This window comes from Homo sapiens, chromosome 1, assembly GCF_000001405.40.
Source record: "Homo sapiens chromosome 1, GRCh38.p14 Primary Assembly".
Lineage (NCBI taxonomy): Eukaryota > Metazoa > Chordata > Mammalia > Primates > Hominidae > Homo > Homo sapiens.
In genome coordinates this window covers 83158032-83178466 of record NC_000001.11, presented here as the reverse complement: position 1 = coordinate 83178466, position 20435 = coordinate 83158032, and the positions used below count along the sequence as shown (strand labels likewise).

General features: G+C 37.2%; 1 long non-coding RNA gene across 1 annotated transcript in view, besides 2 other annotated features; it reads right to left on the bottom strand.

Annotated features, from left to right (window-relative positions):
• Positions 9993-10493: an enhancer, noted in NCBI's record as "H3K4me1 hESC enhancer chr1:83633657-83634157 (GRCh37/hg19 assembly coordinates)". NCBI's record gives its function as "activates a minimal SCP1, AML or CMV promoter by ChIP-STARR-seq in naive H9 embryonic stem cells {active_cell/tissue: H9 hESC(naive)}" and the evidence as "EXISTENCE:reporter gene assay evidence [ECO:0000049][PMID:30033119]".
• Positions 10494-10994: an enhancer, noted in NCBI's record as "H3K4me1 hESC enhancer chr1:83633156-83633656 (GRCh37/hg19 assembly coordinates)". NCBI's record gives its function as "activates a minimal SCP1, AML or CMV promoter by ChIP-STARR-seq in naive H9 embryonic stem cells {active_cell/tissue: H9 hESC(naive)}" and the evidence as "EXISTENCE:reporter gene assay evidence [ECO:0000049][PMID:30033119]".
• LINC01362 (long intergenic non-protein coding RNA 1362) overlaps positions 11652-20435 on the bottom strand; it is a 263633-nt gene continuing 254849 nt past the window's right edge. The window contains exons 10-11 of the long non-coding RNA NR_147074.1: positions 17801-17861; positions 11652-11763 (exon numbers count right to left, since the gene is read on the bottom strand). This is a non-coding gene — a long non-coding RNA (long intergenic non-protein coding RNA 1362). The remainder of the gene's footprint in view (positions 11764-17800; positions 17862-20435) is intronic.

Here is a 20435-nt window from a genome sequence, read left to right as displayed (position 1 = left end):
TTGCTTTGAGGCATCACAACTCATGCCCATATAAGATGGCAAACTTAATTGATAAATGTGTATGTTCTGACTACTCCAAAGACTGGCCATTCCCCATCTTCCTTCCCCTCCTCAGGCCACCCTACTCCCTAAGACACAACAATATGGAAACTAGGTCAATTAATAATCCTACGTGGCCCTCTAAATGTTCAGGTGAAAAGACTAATGAAGAAGGCATGTTGAAGTTGAGATAGGCTAAAAGCTAGGCCTCTTGTGCCAAACATTTAGCAAAGATATGAGTGCAGAGAAAAAATTCTTGAAGGAAATTAAAAGTGCTACTCCAATGAACACATCAATGGTAAGGAAGCAAAACAGGCTTATTCATGATATGGAGAAAGTTTTAGTGATCCGGATAGAATACCAAGCCAGCCACAACATTCTCCTAAGCCAAAGCCTAATCCAGAGCAAAGCCCTAACTGTCTTCAATTCTGTGAAGGTTGAGAGAGGTGAGGAAGCTTTGGAAGAAAAGTTTGAAGCTAGCAGAGGTTGGCTCATAAGGTTTAAGAAAAGAAGCTGTATCTGTAATATAAAAGTGCAAGGTGAAACAGCAAGTGCTAGTGTAGAAGCAGGAGTGAGTTATCCAGAAGATCTAGCTAAGATAACTGATGAAGATGGCTACATTAAGCAACAGATTTTCAATGTAGACAAAACAACCTATATTGAAAGAAGATATCATCTAGGACTTTCATAGTAAGAGAGAAGTCAATGTCTGGTTTCAAAGCTTCAGAGGACAGGCTGATGTGATTCTTAGGGGCTAATGCAGCTAGTAACTTCTAATTGAAGCCAATACTTATTTGCCATTCCAAAATCCCTAGGACCCTTCAGAATTGTGCAAAATCTACTCTGCCTATGCTCTATAAATGGAATGACAAAGCCTAGATGATAGCACGGTATACAAATATTTTAAGCCCAGTGTTAAGACCTACTGCTCAGAAAAAAGATTTCTTTCAAAATATTATTGCACATTGACAATAACTTAATCACCCAAGAGCTCTGACGGAGAGGTACAAGGAAATTAATGTTTTCATGCCTGCTAATAAAACATCAATTGTGCAGCCCATGGATCAAAGAGTAATTTTTACTTTCAAGTCTTATTACTTAAGAAATATATTTCATAATGCTATATTTGCCATAGATAGTGATTTCCCCAATGGATCTGGGCAAGGTACATTGAAAGCCTTCTGGAAAGGGTTTACCATTCTAGAAGTCATTAAGAACATTTGTGATTCATGAGAACAGGTCAAAAATCAACATTAACAGAAATCTGGAAGAAGTTAATTCCAACCCTCATAGATTACTTTGAGGGGTTTTAGATTTCAGTGGAGAAAATCCCTGCAGATGTTGTGGAAACAGCAGGAGAACTAGAATTAGAAGTAAAGCCTGCCTGGGAGGGGAAGGACACGCACCGGAGCCTGTTAGGGGATGGGAAGTAATAGGAGGGAGAGTATTAGGACCAATACCTAATGCATGTGGGGCTTAAAACCTAGATGACAGGTTAATAGGTGCAGGAAACCATCATGGCACATGTATACTTATGTAAACAATCCTGCACTTTCTGCGCGTGTATCCAGGAACTTAAAGTAAAATTAAAAAAAAAAAAAAAGAAGTAAAGCCTGAAGATGTGACTGAATCACTACAGTCTCATGATAAAACTTTAGCAAATAAGGAGTTGCTTCTTATGGATGAGCAAAGAAATAAGTTTATTGAAATGGAATCTATTCCTGGTGAAGATGCTGTGAACATTATTGAAATGATAACAAAATTCTAGAATATTTGATAAACTTTATCAGCAGCATCAGAATTTGAAAAATTTGACTCGAATTTTGAAAGAGGTTCTACTGTAGGTAAAATGCTATCAAACAGCATCACCTGCTATGGAGAAATCTTTCATGAAAGGAAGAGTCAGTAGATGTGGCAGACTTCATTGTTGTCTTATTTTAGAAATTGCCACAGCCACCCCATCCTTCAGCAACCACCACCCTGATCAGTCAGTAGCTATCATTGTCAAGGCAAGGTCCTCCATCAGCAAACAGATGAAGACTGGCTTGAAAGCGAAAGTGATCATTAACATTTCTTAATAAAACATTTTCATTAAGGTATGCAGGTTATTTTTTAGAAATAATACTATTACATAATTAATAGACTATAGTATAGCATAAACATAACTTTTATATGCACTGGAAAATCAAAAGAATCATGTGACCTGCTTTATTGTGATATTTGCTCTATTGCGGTGATCTGGATCCAAATTTGCAGCTTCTGCAAGGTATGCCTGTGTAGGGAAAGGCAGCACAAACTAAACTACAATAGAAGTGACAGAGCACAGAGCAAAAGAGTATACTTTTAACATATGTGTTAAATAAATGTTTAATACACACATCAAATACAGAACCTCTAGAAGTCAATATAATTTAAAATGCAAACACATAAAATAATAAGCAAAACTCTAAATATTCAACATAAATGATATAAAAATGTCCTATAAACCTTTAAAAATACTTATTTAAATAACCTGCAATAACTTTGCCCCTTAAATAGGGTAAATTTATATAGATCAGCACTAATTTAATTTTGGCATGTATCTGAAGAAATGATAAATATTACACATTGTTTATGATGGTATAAATTGCAATATTATTAAAGGATACATGGAATCTATTAAAATGTTTGGAAGTGGATATATCTTATGATTGATTTGATTGATACAGCAATTCCTCTTTTGTGTGTCTTATACACACACATACATAATATACACTTAGGCAAACACATTTCAGACATTTGGATTGGGATCCTGGCTGCTGCTTCAACCTCATCTAATTTCCTATTACACCTCCTCTCTCTCCCTTTTTGTACATTTGTCCCTCTCTCTGATTTCCACCATCTGTCTTTCCAGTTTACTTTCTCTAGTTCCAGACAACAAAAATTCTTTAATCCCACTGGGATCTCCAATCAATTGATTCAATCAACTTTTCATTATGCCTCAACCCTTTGATCTTCTAATCTAACTTCTCATAACTCAAGTTAAATTCCATGGGAAATCCTTAACAATCACTTCCACATATACATCCTTAACTGCCTGCCTCCCTCTTATTGCTTTGACTTGTTTGGAAAAACCACAACTTGGTTAAATCCAGATCACCATTCTCTATGTCTATAATTCTGCAGCTAAACATAGGTAGAGATCAATACACAACCATCATTTCTCATCTTAAATTCGTAACCACAAACCTCATAGAGATCTGTTAATGCTAGTCAGGCAATTACAGTGTTTCCCATTCCTTTAATTCCTTCACTATCCTGTTTCAATTTCACACCTTTTTCTGCTTTCTTATATGTAAAACACCTCCTCCCTGTCCTTACTCTCAAGTGATCACTGTACATCTGATTTCATGAAGAATATTCAAATGATTAAAAGAAAACATCACAGATTCCCATCACCACGTCTGCCCCCACACCGTTTACAAACCCACACTCCCTGCTGCCCATCTTGTTGCCCCAGGTGAACTATCTGAACTACTATCTAAAGTCAGTTTCTTCCCACGTGCACTACATTCCAGCAGCTTTTACTTAGCAAAGAACATTTTCCAGCAATTTCCTTGTCTCTCCTTTAACACCATTTTCTCCCCTTTTCCTACTGGATCATTCTCATCAGCATGTAAACAAGTTATTACTTGTTTCCCAACCTGACCACATTTTTCATCTTCCATCTCCGTAAATCTGATCTGTGCCCCACTATTTATTTCCTGAATTTCTATGATGGCCTTTTACCTGATCTTCCTGCATGTGTCCTCTCACCCTACACAATCTATTCCCAGCATGGCAGTCAGAAACAACCTTTTAAAACAGAAGCCAGGTCTTGCGCCTCCTATTCTGAAATCCTCACTGGTTTTCCCCCACCCCACCCCTCATGTCACTCAGAGTAAACCCTAAGTTCGCATGTGCCTGACAGGGTCTTACATAACCTACCCGCCCCCACAGCCCAGACCTCTCTGATCTTCTGGACCATTGTTGTCCTCATTGATCACTCTGCTCCAGCTACAACTGTCTGCTGCTCTCCCTCCACCTTCCCAACTGAAGGCTTTTGTGCTTGTTGTTTCTATCCTGAAAATGAACTTCTATAATGTGGTTAACTTTCCCTTATCTCATTCAAGTATTTGCTCAAGTCTTTTTCAGTAAGACAGGCCCTAATCATCTTATTTAAAACTGGAACATACACTCCCACTCCCTACACTTCTGCACCCATTTACTTTGCTCTGCTTTTTCTTTTTTCATAGAATGTGTCACATTATAATACTACATAGTTTACTTTTTACTATTTATCATTTTATTACCTATCCCGGTCATTACATTTTGAGATTCAGGAGTACAAAAATCTTTGACTCTTTTGTTCACTGATGAATCACAAAAAAAAAAAAAACAAACCCATCAACTATAACCTATAAAAAACCTATAAACTATAAAATAACCTATAGAAAAACATATGATCACAAAAAAACCTATAACCTATCAGCAAGAAAATTGGCATCAATTAATACTTGCTAAGTGAATTAATGTATTTGTGCAAAATATATATACAGAAGCATGTCTGGTGTATCCTTGTTTTATTTTATTTTTTATTTTTTATTTTTTTATTTTTTTCAATTTTAACTATTATTAACGAACATTTATACATTTATATGCTTTTCCATTTTCTACACTATTATAAATAAGTGTGATGAATATCTTTGTAAGTCTTTGATGATACATGTGATGATTTCCTTAGGACAGATTCCTAGAAGTGGAATTCCTGGATGCAAGAACATGACTTTTCTTTTTCTTTCTTTCTTTTTTTTTAATTTTATTTTTATTTTATTATTATTATACTTTAAGTTTTAGGGTACATGTGCACAATGTGCAGGTTTGTTACATATGTATAGATGTGCTATGTTGGTGTGCTGCACTCATTAACTCGTCATTTAGCATTAGGTATATCTCCTAATGTTATTTTTCCCCCCTTCCCCTACCGCACAACAGTCCCTGACGTGTGATATTCCCCTTCCTGTGTCCATGTGTTCTCACTGTTCAATTCCCATCTATGAGTGAGAACATGCAGTGTTTGGTTTTTTGTCCTTGCAGTAGTTTGCTGAGAATGATGGTTTCCAGTTTCATCCATGTCCCTACAAAGGACATGAACTCATCATTTTTTATGGCTGCATAGTATTCCATGGTGTATATGTGCCACGTTTTCTTAATCCAGTCTATTGTTGTTGGACATTTGGGTTGGTTCCAAGTCTTTGCTATTGTGAATAGTGCCGCAATAAACACGTGTGCATGCGTCTTTATAGCAGCATGATTTATAATCCTTTGGGGATATACCCAGTAATGGGATGGCTAGGTCAAATGGTATTTCTAGTTCTAGATCCCTGAGGAATCGCCACACTGACTTCTACAATGGTTGAACTAGTTTACAGTCCCACCAACAGTGTAAAAGTGTTCCTATTTCTCCACATCCTCTCCAGCACCTGTTTTTTACTGACTTTTTAATGATTGCCATTCTAACTGGTGTGAGATGGTATCTCATTGTGGTTTTGATTTGCATTTCTCTGATGGCCAGTGATGATGAGCATTTTTTCATGTGTTTTTTGGCTGCATAAATGTCTTCTTTTGAGAAGTGTCTGTTCATGTCCTTCTCCCACTGTTTGATGGGGTGGTTTGTCTTTTTCTTGTAAATTTGTTTGAGTTCATTGTAGATTCTGGATATTAGACCTTTGTCAGATGAGTAGGTTGCAAAAATTTTCTCCCAGTTTATAGGTTGCCTGTTCACTCTGATGGTAGTTTCTTTTGCTGTGCAGAAGCTCTTTAGTTTAATTAGATCCCATTTGTTGATTTTGGCTTTTGTTACCATTGCTTTTGGTCTTTTAGACATGAAGTCCTTGCCCATGCTTATGTCCTGAATGGTATTGCCTAAGTTACCTTCTAGGGTTTTTATGGTTTTAGGTCTAACATGTAAGTCTTTAATCCATCTTCAACTGATTTTTGTATAAGGTGTTAGGAAAGGATCCAGTTTCAGCTTTCTACATGTGACTAGCCAGTTTTCCCAGCACCATTTATTAAATAGGGAATCCTTTCCCCATTGCTTGTTTTTGTCAGGTTTTTCAAAGATCAGATGGTTGTAGATATGCGGCATTATTTCTGAGGGCTCTGTTCTGTTCCATTGATCAATATCTCTGTTTTGATACCAGTACCATGCTGTTTTGGTTACTGTAGCCTTGTAGTATAGTTTGAAGTCAGGTAGCGTGATGCCTCCAGCTTTGTTCTTTTGGCTTAGGATTGACTTGGTGATGCGGGCTCTTTTTTGGTTCCATATGAACTTTAAAGTAGTTTTTTCCAATTCTGTGAAGAAAGTCATTGGTAGCTTGATGGGGATGGCATTGAATCTATAAATTACCTTGGGCAGTATGGCCATTTTCACGATATTAATTCCTCCTACCCATGAGCATGGAATTTTCTTCCATTTGTTTGTATCCTCTTTTATTTCCTTGAGCAGTGGTTTGTAGTTCTCCCTGAAGAGGTCCTTCACATCCCTTGTAAGTTGGATTCCTAGGTATTTTATTCTTTTTGAAGCAATTGTGAATGGGAGTTCACTCATGATTTGACTCTCTGTTTGTCTGTTATTGGTGTATAAGAATGCTTGTGATTTTTGCACATTGATTTTGTATCCTGAGACTTTGCTGAAGTTGCTTATCAGCTTAAGGAGATTTTGGGCTGAGACAATGGGGTCTGCTAGATATACAATCATGCCATCTGCAAAGAGGGACAATTTGACTTCCCCTTTTCCTAACTGAATACCCTTTATTTCCTTCTCCTGCCTAATCGCCCTGGCCAGAACTTCCAACACTATGTTGAATAGGAGTGGTGAGAGAGGGCATCCCTGTGTTGTGCCAGCTTTCAAAGGGAATGCTTCCAGTTTTTGCCCATTCAGTATGATATTGGCTGTGGGTTTGTCATAGATAGCTCTTATTATTTTGAGATACGTCCCATCAATACTTAATTTATTGAGAGTTTTTAGCATGAAGGGTTGTTGAATTTTGTCAAAGGCTTTTTCTGCATCTATTGAGATAATCATGTGGTTTTTGTCTTTGGTTCTGTTTATATGCTGGATTACATTTATTGATTTGCATATGTTGAATCAGCCTTGCATCTCAGGGATGAAGCCCACTTGTTCATGGTGGATAAGCTTTTTGATGTGCTGCTGGATTTGGTTTGCCAGTATTTTCTTGAGGATTTTTGCATCAATGTTCATCAAGGATATTGGTCTAAAATTCTCTTTTTTGGTTGTGTCCCTGCCAGGCTTTGGTATCAGGATGATGCTGGCCTCATAAAATGAGTTAGGGAGGATTCCCTCTTTTTCTATTGATTGGAATAGTTTCAGAAGGAATGGTACCAGTTCCTCCTTGTACCTCTGGTAGAATTCGGCTGTGAATCCATCTGGTCCCAGACTCTTTTTGGTTGGTAAGCTATTGATTATTGCCACAATTTCAGAGCCTGTTACTGGTCTATTCAGAGATTCAACTTCTTCCTGGTTTAGTCTTGGGAGAGTGTATGTGTCGAGGAATTTATCCATTTCTTCTAGATTTTCTAGTTTATTTGGGTAGAGGTGTTTGTAGTATTCTCTGATGATAGTTTGTATTTCTGTGGGATTGGTGGTGATATCTTCTTTATCATTTTTTATTGCGTCTATTTGATTCTTCTCTCTTTTCTTCTTTATTACTCTTGCTAGTGGTCTATCAATTTTGTTGATCTTTTCAAAAAACCAGCTCCTAGATTCATTAATTTTTGAAGGGTTTTTTTGTGTCTCTATTTCCTTCAGTTCTGCTCTGATTTTAGTTATTTCTTGCCTTCTGCTAGCTTTCGAATGTGTTTGCTCTTGCTTTTCTAATTCTTTTAATTGTGATGTTAGGGTATCAATTTTGGATCTTTCCTGCTTTCTCTTGTGGGCATTTACTGCTATAAATTTCCCTCTACACACTGCTTTGAATGTGTCCCAGAGATTCTGGTATGTTTTGTCTTTGTTCTCGTTGGTTTCAAAGACCATCTTTATTTCTGCCTTCATTTTGTTATGTACCCAGTAGTCACTCAGGAGCAGGTTGTTCAGTTTCCATGTAGTTGAGCGGTTTTGAGTGAGTTTCTTAATCCTGAGTTCTAGTTTGATTGCAGTGTGGTCTGAGAGACAGTTTGTTATAATTTGTGTTCTTTTACATTTGCTGAGGAGAGCTTTACTTCCCAGTATGTGGTCAGTTTTGGAATAGGTGTGGTGTGGTGCTGAAAAAAATGTATATCCTCTTTATTTGGGGTGGAGAGTTCTGTAGATGTTTATTAGGTCTTCTTGGTGCAGAGCTGAGTTCAATTCCTGGGTATCCTTGTTAACTTTCAGTCTCGTTGATCTGTCTAATGTTGACAGTGGCGTGTTAAAGTCTCCCATTATTATTGTGTGGGAGTCTAAGTCTCTTTGTAGGTCACTCAGGACTTGCTTTATGAATTTGGGTGCTCCTGTATTGGGTGCATATATATTTAGGATAGTTAGCTCTTCTTGTTGAATTGATCCCTTTACCATTATGTAATGGCCTTCTTTGTCTCTTTTGATCTTTGTTGGTTTAAAGTCTGTTTTATCAGAGACTAGGATTGCAACCCCTGCCTTTTTTTGTTTTCCATTTGCTTGGTAGATCTTCCTCCATCCTTTTATTTTGAGCCTATGTGTGTCTCTGCACGTGAGATGGGTTTCCTGAATACAGCACACTGATGGGTCTTGACTCTTTATCCAATTTGCCAGTCTGTATCTTTTAATTGGAGCATTTAGCCCATTTACATTTAAAGTTAATATTATTATGTGTGAATTTGATCCTGTCATTATGATGTTAGCTGGTTATTTTGCTTGTTAGTTGATGCAGTTTCTTCCTAGCCTTGATGGTCTTTACATTTTGGCATGTTTTTGCAGTGGCTGGTACCGTTTGTTCCTTTCCATGTTTAGTGCTTCCTTCAGGAGCTCTTTTAGGGCAGGCCTGGTGGTGGCAAAATCTCTCAGCATTTGCTTGTCTGTAAAGTATTTTATTTCTCCTTCACTTATGAAGCTTAGTTTGGCTGGATATGAGATTCTGGGTTGAAAATTCTTTTCTTTAAGAATGTTGAATATTGATCCCCACTCTCTTCTGGCTTGTAGAGTTTCTGCCGAGAGATCCGCTGTTAGTCTGATGTGCTTCCCTTTGTGGGTAACCCAACCTTTCTCTCTGGCTGCCCTTAACATTTTTTCCTTCATTTCAACTTTGGTGAATCTGATAATTATGTGTCTTGGAGTTGCTCTTCTCGAGGAGTATCTTTGTGGTGTTCTCTGTATTTCCTGAATCTGAATGTTGGCCTGCCTTGCCAGATTGGGAAAGTTCTCCTGGATAATATCCTGCAGAGTGTTTTCCAACTTGGTTCCATTCTCCCCATCACTTTCAGGTACACCAATCAGACATAGATTTGGTCTTTTCACATAGTCCCATATTTCTTGGAGGGTTTGTTCTTTTCTTTTTATTCTTTTTTCTCTAAACTTCCCTTCTCGCTTCATTTCATTCATTTCATCTTCCATCGCTGATACCCATTCTTCCCGTTGATCGCATTGGCTTCTGAGGCTTCTGCATTATTCACGTAGTTCTCGAGCCTTGGCTTTCAGCTCCATCAAGTCCTTTAAGGACTTCTCTGCATTGGTTATTCTAGTTATCCATTCGTCTAATTTTTTTTCAAAGTTTTTAACTTCTTTGCCATTGGTTTGAATTTCCTCCTGTAGCTCAGAGTAGTTTGATCATCTGAAGCCTTCTTCTCTCAACTCATCAAAGTCATTCTCCATCCAGCTTTGTTCTGTTGCTGGTGAGGAGCTGCATTCCTTGGGAGGAGGAGAGGTGCTCTGCTTTTTAGAGTTTCCAGTTTTTCTGCTCTGTTTTTTCCCCATCTTTGTGGTTTTATCTACTTTTGGTCTTTGATGATGGTGACGTACAGATGGGTTTTTGGTGTGGATGTCCTTTCTGTTTGTTAGTTTTCCTTCTAACAGACAGGACCTCAGCTGCAGGTCTGTTGGAGTTTGCTAGAGGTCACTCCAGACCCTGTTTGCCTGGGTATCAGCAGCGGTGACTGCAGAACAGCAGTGGCTGTAGAACAGCGGATATTGGTGATCCGCAAATGCTGCTGCCTGATCATTCCTTTGGAGGTTTTGTCTCAGAGGAGTACCCGGCCGTGTGAGGTGTCAGTCTGCCCCTACTGGGGGGTGCCTCCCATTTAGGCTGCTCGGGGCTCAGGGACCCACTTGAGGAGGCAGTCTGCCCGTTCTCAGATCTCCAGCTGCGTGCTGGGAGAAACACTGCTCTCTTCAAAGCTGTCAGACAGGGACATTTAAGTCTGCAGAGGTTACTGCTGTCTTTTTGTTCGTCTGTGCCCTGCCCCCAGAGGTGGAGCCTACAAAGGCAGGCAGGCCTCCTTGAGCTGTGGTGGGCTCTACCCAGTTTGAGCTTCCAGGCTGCTTTGTTTACCTAATCAAGCCTGGGCAATGGCAGGCGCCCTTCCCCCGCCTTGCTGCCCCCTTGCAGTTTGATCTCAGACTGCTGTGCTAGCAATCAGCGAGACTCCATGGGTGTAGGACCCTCCGAGCCAGATGCGGGATATAATCTCCTGGTATGCCGATTTTTAAGCCCATTGGAAAAGGGCAGTATTAGGGTGGGAGTGACCCGATTTTCCAGTTGCCGTCTGTCACCCCTTTCTTTGACTAGGAAAGGGAACTCCCTGACCCCTTGTGCTTCCCGAATGAGGCAATGCCTTGCCCTGCTTCAGCTCACGCACGGTGCACTGCACCCACTGTCCTGCACCCACTGTCTGGCATTCCCTAGTGAGATGAACCCGGTACCTCAGATGGAAATGCAGAAATCACCCATCTTCTGTGTCGCTCATGCTGGGAGCTGTAGACCGGAGCTGCTCCTATTCGGCCATCTTGGCTCCACCGTATCCTTGTTTTAATAGAAGAAAACTGTATAATATCAATATTGGAATGGTTAAATACTGTTTTACTTATTATATTGATATTATACATTCATTAGAAGATGACTTAATTAGCCAGGTGTGGTGGTGCATGATTGTAGTCTCAGCTACTCGGGAGGCTGAGGTGGGAAGATGGCTTGAGGCAAGGAGTTCAAGACCAGTCTGGACAACATAGCAAGACCCCATCCATAAAAAAATTCCCAGACTGACAAAGAAACTTAAAAAATAAAACATAGACTAAGATCTCATTAACAAATTAACATTGTATATATATAAAACAGCTGTGAAATAAACTACCAAAAAGATTCTCTTCTACATCATATGTCACCAGGGAAATGTGAGTTAAAACAACGAGATACCACTACCTACCAATTAGAGTGGTCAAAATCCAGAACATGCTGTGGAAAATGTAGAGCACCAAGAAATTTTATCCATTGCTCATGGGGATGTAAAATGGTACAGCCACTTACCAAACTAAGCATACTTTGACCATACTCTCCAGCGATCACACTCCTTGGTGTTTACCCTAATAAACTGAAAATTTATGTCCACACAAAAACTGGCACATAAACATTTATAGCAGCTTTATTCATACTTGCCAAAACATAGAACAACCAAGATGTCCTTCAGTAGGTGAATGGATAAACTTGGTACATCAGGACAGTGAAATATTATTCAGTGCTTTAAAAAGAAAGAAAGAAGCCATCAAGCCATGAAAACATCTAGAGGAAACTTAAATGCACATTACTAAGTAAAAGAAGCCAATCTGAAAGGATATATACTATGTGACTACAACTATTAGACATGCTGGAAAAGACAAAAGATGGAGACAGTAAAATAATTGATTGGTAGTTGCCAGGGTTAGGGGGAGAGAGGGATCAATAGGCAGAGCACAAAGGATATTTGTGGAGGTGAAACTACTCTGTGATATTACAATGGTGGTACATGTCATTATACATGTGTCCAAACCCACAGAATGTACATCACCGAGAGTGAACCCCAGCATAAAGTAGGAAATGTGGGTAATGATGATGTCTCAATATAGGTTTATCAACTGTAACAAAAGTATCACTCTGGTGAGGACTGTTGATAATGGGGGAGGCTGAGCATGTGGGGCAGGAGGGGCTACAAGGGAACTCTTGGTATTTTCTGTTCAATTTTCCTATAAAACTAAAACTTCTCTAAAAAATAAAGTCTATTCAAAATTATATATATAATATATTTTTCTTTTTATAAACAGACACTGTAAGAAACATCAAAACTATCTGTAATAGGCATACAGTTAGGCAGGAGAGGTTTGACAAAGTAGAGAAGGGTAAAAGTGGAATTTTTAATTGATTTTAAATTGTTTGAATTCTTAAAATGATATTCATTTATAGTGTTGATACATTTCAAAAATAAGAAAATTAGGGCAAAGGAAAAATAAAGTAGAAAAAGTACAATGAAATCAAGAGTAACATTAATACACAAGACATGCATATAGAATTCTCTACATTTGCTGTGAGTCATAAAATGGACTCTGATCTTTTCTGCCAACATTGACCAGTTAAATCATGGTGTTAACATGATAGAAAACAAACAAATTATTCGGGAGGTACACATTATTCCTGGCATGAGTACCTAAATAAAAAAATCTATTCTGTGTCTCTATTGAGTGATGTTTGAGCAGCAACTTTAATGCTATCTTTATAGCAACTCAATGCATTTCATTGAGGTTTTTCTTTGTAAATGTTCATGTAGACTGCCACAGTGCAGCTTGATAATACCTGTCTTGTAGGTCTTGAAGTTTTCTAGGTAGGAACTGGCAATGGGCCACAAAACAATGTGATCATAAAACATGGCTCTGCTATGGTCTTGTTTATTCCAAAAGCCATATTTAGAGTGTCCTAAACTAAGCTACTATTTTTTATTCTGCAAAAGTAGATTCTTTGGTCAAATATTTCAGAAAATTTATATCAAGCCAAGTTAGATGTGTTTCTTTGCCTTTGGGACTTCTTAGAGCCTTTAATATGCAAATATGCATTGTAAATCTTTAAGAGTGAGACAGAAAATATTGTGTTTGTCAAGCAAAATTAAGTCTGGGAGCCTATTTTTGAATGAGTGTCTCCAGGGCTTTGATTCCATAGAGCACACGTCTGGTAAGCAGTATGGCCAGATGGCTCCTCCTTTTAGGTGAGTCTCTACAAATAGGGTTTTGTTATTGTGGCTCTTTTCTTTCAATGAGGATATTGATAGGCCTTCTCATGATCCCAGATTTTATTTGTAGGTCTATTATTGTATTTCCTATTTTTGCTGAATTTGATTTTTCTTTACCAATTTCTCTACCACTTTGGAAATGCATCAAGAACAGTTTTTGTTACCTCAGTACCTAATAATGCCAGTGCCTGGCTCAGTATTTATTAACTATTTTTGAAATAAAAACTAAACATAGCATTTTCACAGGAAGATTATAAATCCATGGAGCATTACAGATAGTTCTAAGGTATTTAAATATTCCAAGGCTATGCGGAAAGTTAAATGACATCTTTGTTGCTGAAATTATACCAACCCAACATGTTAATAATCATGCTGATCAGTAACTGTGGTTTGGTAGTTGTAGATGTCTTTATAGTAGTTGGAAAACAAATTAATAGACATAGTTTGTTTAATAATTTTTTTCGAATTTGTAGTTAGAAAAGATGAAAATACTTCTGACTGAGAAAAAAATGTTGAAAAATGTATTCAGCTCCTTTACAGAGAGGAAAACTAAGGCTGATGTGGTAAAAGAGACTTGCCTAATATCACACAAACCCTTTAGAGCACAGTAAGTATTAAAACTCATACTTAATCACTTCCATGCAGTAGGTTTTTTTTCTAGACTCTCCCTTTTGCAAGTTTAATGGTAACATTTCTCTTTCTCCTTGTCTTATCTCCTGTCTTTTATTTACATAGCATGTGACATTCTCTTGCAGTTTCAAGTATTTTTGCCATCTCAGGACTGAGGCCCTGGCAAACTGGCAGTTGGGTAAGCTGCATTTCCCCTCCTTAATTGATGGGAAGCACTGCCTTTGACAGAGCTGATTCACAGTGACGGGGCTGACTGGCTGAAAACTGGTAGGAGGACTTTGCAACAGCTCTGGGCCAAACCGAGTCCACAGGCCATATGTCTGGCTCCTCCGTCATAAACAGATGACCAAGTGTGCACACTCCCAGGTGTAATGTCACTGGGACCTTATTTGCAAACATATAAATGAATGACATTCAATTATGTACAGAGGCAATGTTGTCAAAACCACCAAGGAAGCAATTTACTGCTCTTGCACAGTATGTGACTCACAGTGCATTAGCAAGTTTTCATTGCTTAGTTTGTTCAATATGTTTCTGAAGCAGTTCTTTTGCAGCCTGTTGTGTAACCATGATACACACACTTATATAGCATACATAGATAGGATTAAATTAAGGGTTGTTACAAAATTACCTCAAGTGAAAAAAAATGTATAATAAAATCAGCTAATTTCTTTGTAGACATTGGCCAATTAAAGGGAGAAAAGCATAGTTTCTACAACTAGTGGAGTAAAGTTATTAGTTGATACCAATGGATATTAGCAGAAAATTGATGAAAGGTTTTAAATTTTGGGCTCTATGGGATTCCATTTTTGCTAAATGATATAATATTCTCATGGTAGGAAAAAAGTTCTCTGATTTACATAAAATGCGGGTATAGCAAAAGCAATGGTATTTTAACTTAACAACAGCCCTCAAAACACCCTTATAATGTTCTTGGAACAAATGCTGTAAAAGCTGAAAGGGTTCATTCCTAGGTGTTCCTATTGGCACTATTACTAGTGCTAATAGAAAGCACCCAGAAAACTGAGTCAGGGAGATAAACTATACCTTCACACAATACATAACAACAGTAATAATCATAGTACTTTGCATTGGCATTATGTTTTACAGTGTACATAAACATGAAGTATGCCCTTGAACTTGAGTATTACATAAAACACAGATGGAGTGGGCAGCTTCAAAGGAAGTATCATCATTATTTATCATTTTTGTCTTTCTCATTTCCAAGGTTAGAAAACTGAGATTTAGCGAAGTTATATGACTTATCCAAGGCTATATCTCAATACTATTAGAATCAAAAGTAGATGTGGCTGAGTCTTCTGAATTCTAGGGCAAAGTGTTTTCTCACAAGTAATACTGTCTCAACTGTCAAGAGTACAGGTCTACCTTATAACTGAAACTATCGTAGGTATCAGAAGAGGGACTAACTATATCAGGAGGGCAGGTGGAGGAGCTCCATCATGATGGTCCTAAACCTTCAAAGATGGGTAATGCTTAACTAATACAAGAAAAAAATGAAAGAAATTCTGAGCAAGGCAACACCTTGGATAACGATTAGAAAATTAACATTTGTTGACTGATTTAATAAGTATTAAGCACTCATAAGCACCAGCTAGTGTTCTAGGTACTGTGATTTGGCATTGAGCAAGAGACACCATCTTAGTCTTACAGAATCTATGCTATAAGTGGAATATGGACCCTTAGAAATGAATAATAAAATTTAAAAATTATTTTACCTTCTGTTAAGAAAATAGAGTAAATGGGTTGAAAGTGGTAGAGGGAAGGAGTATTTCAGGCCAAGTCATCAGAGAAGGCCGCTCTTAAAGATGACCTTGGAGGAGACACCTGAATGATAAGGAATGTTATCATGCAAATGTCCACGGAAGCATTTTCTGGTGGATGAGACCAGTGATGCAACCTGGGAACAAATTTCTTTCTAAGTGTGGTAAGAAGACGTTAAGAGGTTCTATGTACTTTTTGAAAAGATCATTATTCCTGCTTTCTTTCACAAGTCCAAAAGAGGTCGTGAATGGAAACAGGAAGAGCAGGATTTTTTGGTAGTTCATGATATGTAGGAGAGGTTTACTCAGAGGGAGAAAGGGTGAAGTGAGAGATCAAAGCAAAATCCTAAATTTTTGGCTTGAGTACTTGAACAGATGAGATGAAGAAGGGTATGAACATAAGTAGGTTGTGATGCTGGCCCTAGTTACTAAAAGGGTGTGTATGTTTATGAAGTAGAAAACAACAGCTGGCTCCATCAGGGCTGTGAGTTTAATGCAGTTGGACTCCTCAGAATGGGCCGTGATGAGGCACGGTATAGAACTGAGAAGAAGGGGATCTGCAACTCAGCCACACCTTCTAAACCAACATCCCAATCTCATTTTCATTGTCTGTAAAATGAGGGGTTAGGTCACATTGATAAAATTTAGCTAATTGTAGGCTCTGAACTCCTTTTAAGAACCTAATCATTACTAACGATTCTCCAGAAAACTAAATTGAACATATGTTTAAAATTCCCATGCAACACAGAGACTTAAGAACTTCTTGGCTTGAATATTATCAAGGATTACTCCAGTTCGAAGTGTTTGATTCTATACAATATCAAAATAAGTCCCAAATTATAGTGATCTAACAAAACCATATGTGACCATTGCAGTGTGGCAGAGTTTTGCTGCAAGTTTGCCCACATATGTGAACTGATGAAGACCCTCATCTTGTAGCTGCAACATCAGGAATGTTCAGCCTCTTTCTTCATTGCATAGTGAGAGAGAGAACCAAAAACCACATAGAGAGTTTTCACTGCCTCTGACTGGAAGTGGCATGCATTCCTTTGAATTTTATATTATTGGCCAGATCTTATCACCTGGCACTTGTCCCCTAACTGCAAATGGGATAGAAAATAGAAAAGAGTGTATTTGGTAGACATTATATATTCTCTTTCACATAAGCTTTCTCCTTACACAGATATTTTCATAGCTCAACCAGAAACTTTTGGTTAAATAAGCATAGACTTGTCTAAATAATGGAATACTATGAAGCTGTCATAGGTTTGTAAAGATTGCTAAGGCATAAAAGTCTATTTAAAAAAAGTACAAAGTAGTGTGGATAGTCTGCTGCCACTCATGTAAGAAAGAAGGAAAATGAGAATTTATGTTTGTATTTGTTTGCATTTGGATAGAAAATCTCCAGAGGATAAGCTTAAAAGTGAGTAGTGATGGTGATGGGCCTCTTGGATGGGAAAGATGAGAGAGTGAGAGCAAAACTTTTCATAGTATATGGTCTCATATTATTTTGATTTTTATATGAACATTCTCAGTAATGGAGGGCATCAAAATATCAGTGGCTAATTCCAAAGCTCCTGCTATTACAGAATAACAGCATCCGATGGAGGAGGATGTTCATGTATCACCAAACAGCTCAAGCATGGCTTCATTACAGTGTAACATGCATCATGTCGTGTGTTATTGCTTACTTAACAAACCTCACTCTATCCCACGGATTAATCAAGATAAAGTAGCTAAATATTGCCTGTCTACAGATGAGGTTTCCATTTGTCAAGAGGAGATATAAAACTAAGTAAGGAATTGGTAGATTTTCTCTTCATCCACTCTTAGTGCTAATATAAGAACTTAAAGGGGATTTTTTGGCCGTAATTCGATATGACATTAATGTTAGAAAATTATTCATCTAAATGAACAAAAAGTTTTCCAAAGTAAAAAAATTATCTTGATAATGTAAATTTATATGCTATTCAAACTTGAAATGCATGAAACAATTTTTATGGTAGTATACTTTATTATGAATCGTTTATAATTTTTGAAGCAAAAACAATGTGAAATCATAGTAAATAGTATAAGATTTGGAACTAGGCAGATATAAATTCAAATCCTACCTCTACTAATTGTGTTCCTATGGGCTTCTTGCTTAATCTTTTGGAGTTTCCATTTCTCTATCTGTAAAGTGAGGATAACAAAATACTTGTATGAAGTTGTGAAAACTGAAATTAGATGTTTGAAACACTTAATACAACATCTCACATAATAAAGCATGCACCATAGATGTTTGCTATTATTAATATTACACATTGGCCAATTAATCACAACATTTACGAATGAGGTAGATATTATTTCTTTTTCCCAAAGATATGGTGAGATTTTCTGGGCAGATAAGAGGTTCCTTTCATGATTTCTCATAATATATGAAGTTAGAAGGAGTTTCAAGATATGAGAAAACATGCTGAGACAGCATGGATTAGTCAAAAAAATCTCTGACATCTGGAACTGCCATTTTGGAAACATGAGCTGTTGTTTAGAGTAAAGATAATATTTGGAAATATACCTATCATATTGTAAGCACTTGCTAAATGAAAGTTTTTACTAGCATTTTGTGGCAAAATGAGAAGATATATAACTGAGACCAGTAAGTTAAGCCATAATCCTAAAAAAAAAAAAATCTGTCATTTAGTAAATGGTTCACATTTGGAGAAGGTTAGTAGGGAGTTAAAATGTTTGAATAATTTGCCATTATAGTTAAATTTTTACCATATTATTAGACTTCAGTGTTTTGTTTTCTGAAATCTTTCCTCAAAGTTGTAGGCTTTATATAATCTTAAACATGTTTCTTCTTTATTTTTAAGCCCAGTGTATCTCAAGGAGAAATTAATTTGTATGTTTCTGATTCTTTTATAGTTAACTAATTCAAAAGTTATTTTGTAAGAATTCTTTGATGTCCAGAAAGCCTTATCGTTTTCTTATAATATATTCAAGGTTTTTTTCTTTTGGAAAATGGAAATCATGTCTTGCTTAAAGTAAATAAACTCAAACACCCAATTTTGGAGGACTATATCAAATCATATTCTCTCTCTCTCAATTTCTGGTAGTATCTTGGCTTACAGAAATGACCATTCTTGTTCAGGAAAGAATTGGATAGTTTAGCCTTTTTCAAGTTAGTTCAATTCAGTACACATTTTTTGTTACCTCTGATATGTGGAGAAATATGCACGTTTCCATGGGTGATAGCAATAAAAATGATACAGAAAAATAATATACAGTGCATATCCTCAAGGAGTTTATATTCTAGAGGTAGAGATAGATACATATTAAAGAAATTATAATATTTGACTGAATAAAATATCCAAAAGAGGTAAAAGCAAAATTTTATCTGAATAGTGGAAGAAGAATTATGAATTCAATTTGAGGAACTAAGGAAGGATTTTCATAAAATATATGGAATTCAAGGCAGCCTTATTAGAATTTCAAGGATTATTAGAATTTCAATGAGTGAAGTAGTTGGAGGAGGGTGTTGCTCTCTCAACAAAACCACTTGGGCATAACATAGTAACTTCATAACTCTATTGCTTGTGAAGCCACAAGTTACAGTACTTTGAATGCCAAGCTAAGAGTTCATGTTTTATTTTCTAAGTAATAGAGGAGCCATTTGAATGTCCTTGAGGAGAACACGTAATGCAAATGCAATTTGGGCTTTAGAAAGATTATGCTGATGGAACTGTGAAGGATGAATAAGAGAGGAGGAAATCAAAAGGTTTGGAAACCAAGGCTGTGACTACTTCAGTTCAGTCAAGGGCTAATGAAGAAATAAACTATGGTAGGAGAAAAGTTACAAAACAAAGAAAGGTAGCCAATTATGATTTCTGGATTTTTACTTAAGATGAATGTTAGTTAGAATATAGACTGAGCTGGCTATAACAAGGAGACCTAAAACTAGAGCAAGTCAAACAAGAGATAATTTTATTTTTTTCTTATATAATAGACCAGAGGTAGGGGCATGGCCAGGGTGGAGAAATTACTCTGCCTCATAAGATCATGCATGGTGCTATTGAAAGAGGAAAATTGTCTCTCAACCACTCTCATTCTGGTCTTTAGAAAGGGGAATGAGGAAGTCAAAAGCAAGAAACTTCCTTTTAGAAAAGTGACCCTAGAATTGTATGCACTGCATGCATTCACATTCCATTCATTGTAAGACTCCAAGAGAATTTTTGATTCAGAGTCTAAAACTTGCTTGTTCAGAGCCCAGAGGTTTTTTCTCAACATTTTGTATTTACACTGTGCATGGTATTTGAAATTAATTTGGGTAATATAGAGAAGTAGGTTATAGAAAGTGGGTTATAGATCCCATGAATGCGAGGATAAGTAGGAGCCAAATGAATGGGAGGAGGAGAGAAGACCCAAGTGAGGCTGTTTCTTTCCCTTGGCTTGAAGCCAGTAGAATGGCCTTGACATGGAGGCTCTGGAACTGAACGTCTTGCCACAGATTTGCCAGTGCTGGACTGTACCAGCAGAAGCAGGAGTCCACATGAATCCTACACAAGCACCAGACTCATTTATTACACTTATCGACCCTGGTTTTTAATATTATGTAAGTATTAGTTTAATGACTGTTACCTAAATACCTTAAGCACTATGAGGCCAGGGACTTGGTCTTTTTTGTTCAACATTGAATTCACTTCATATATCAAAGTGCCTGATATATATTAGGAGCTAGATAAACACAGATATTTTAAATTTATG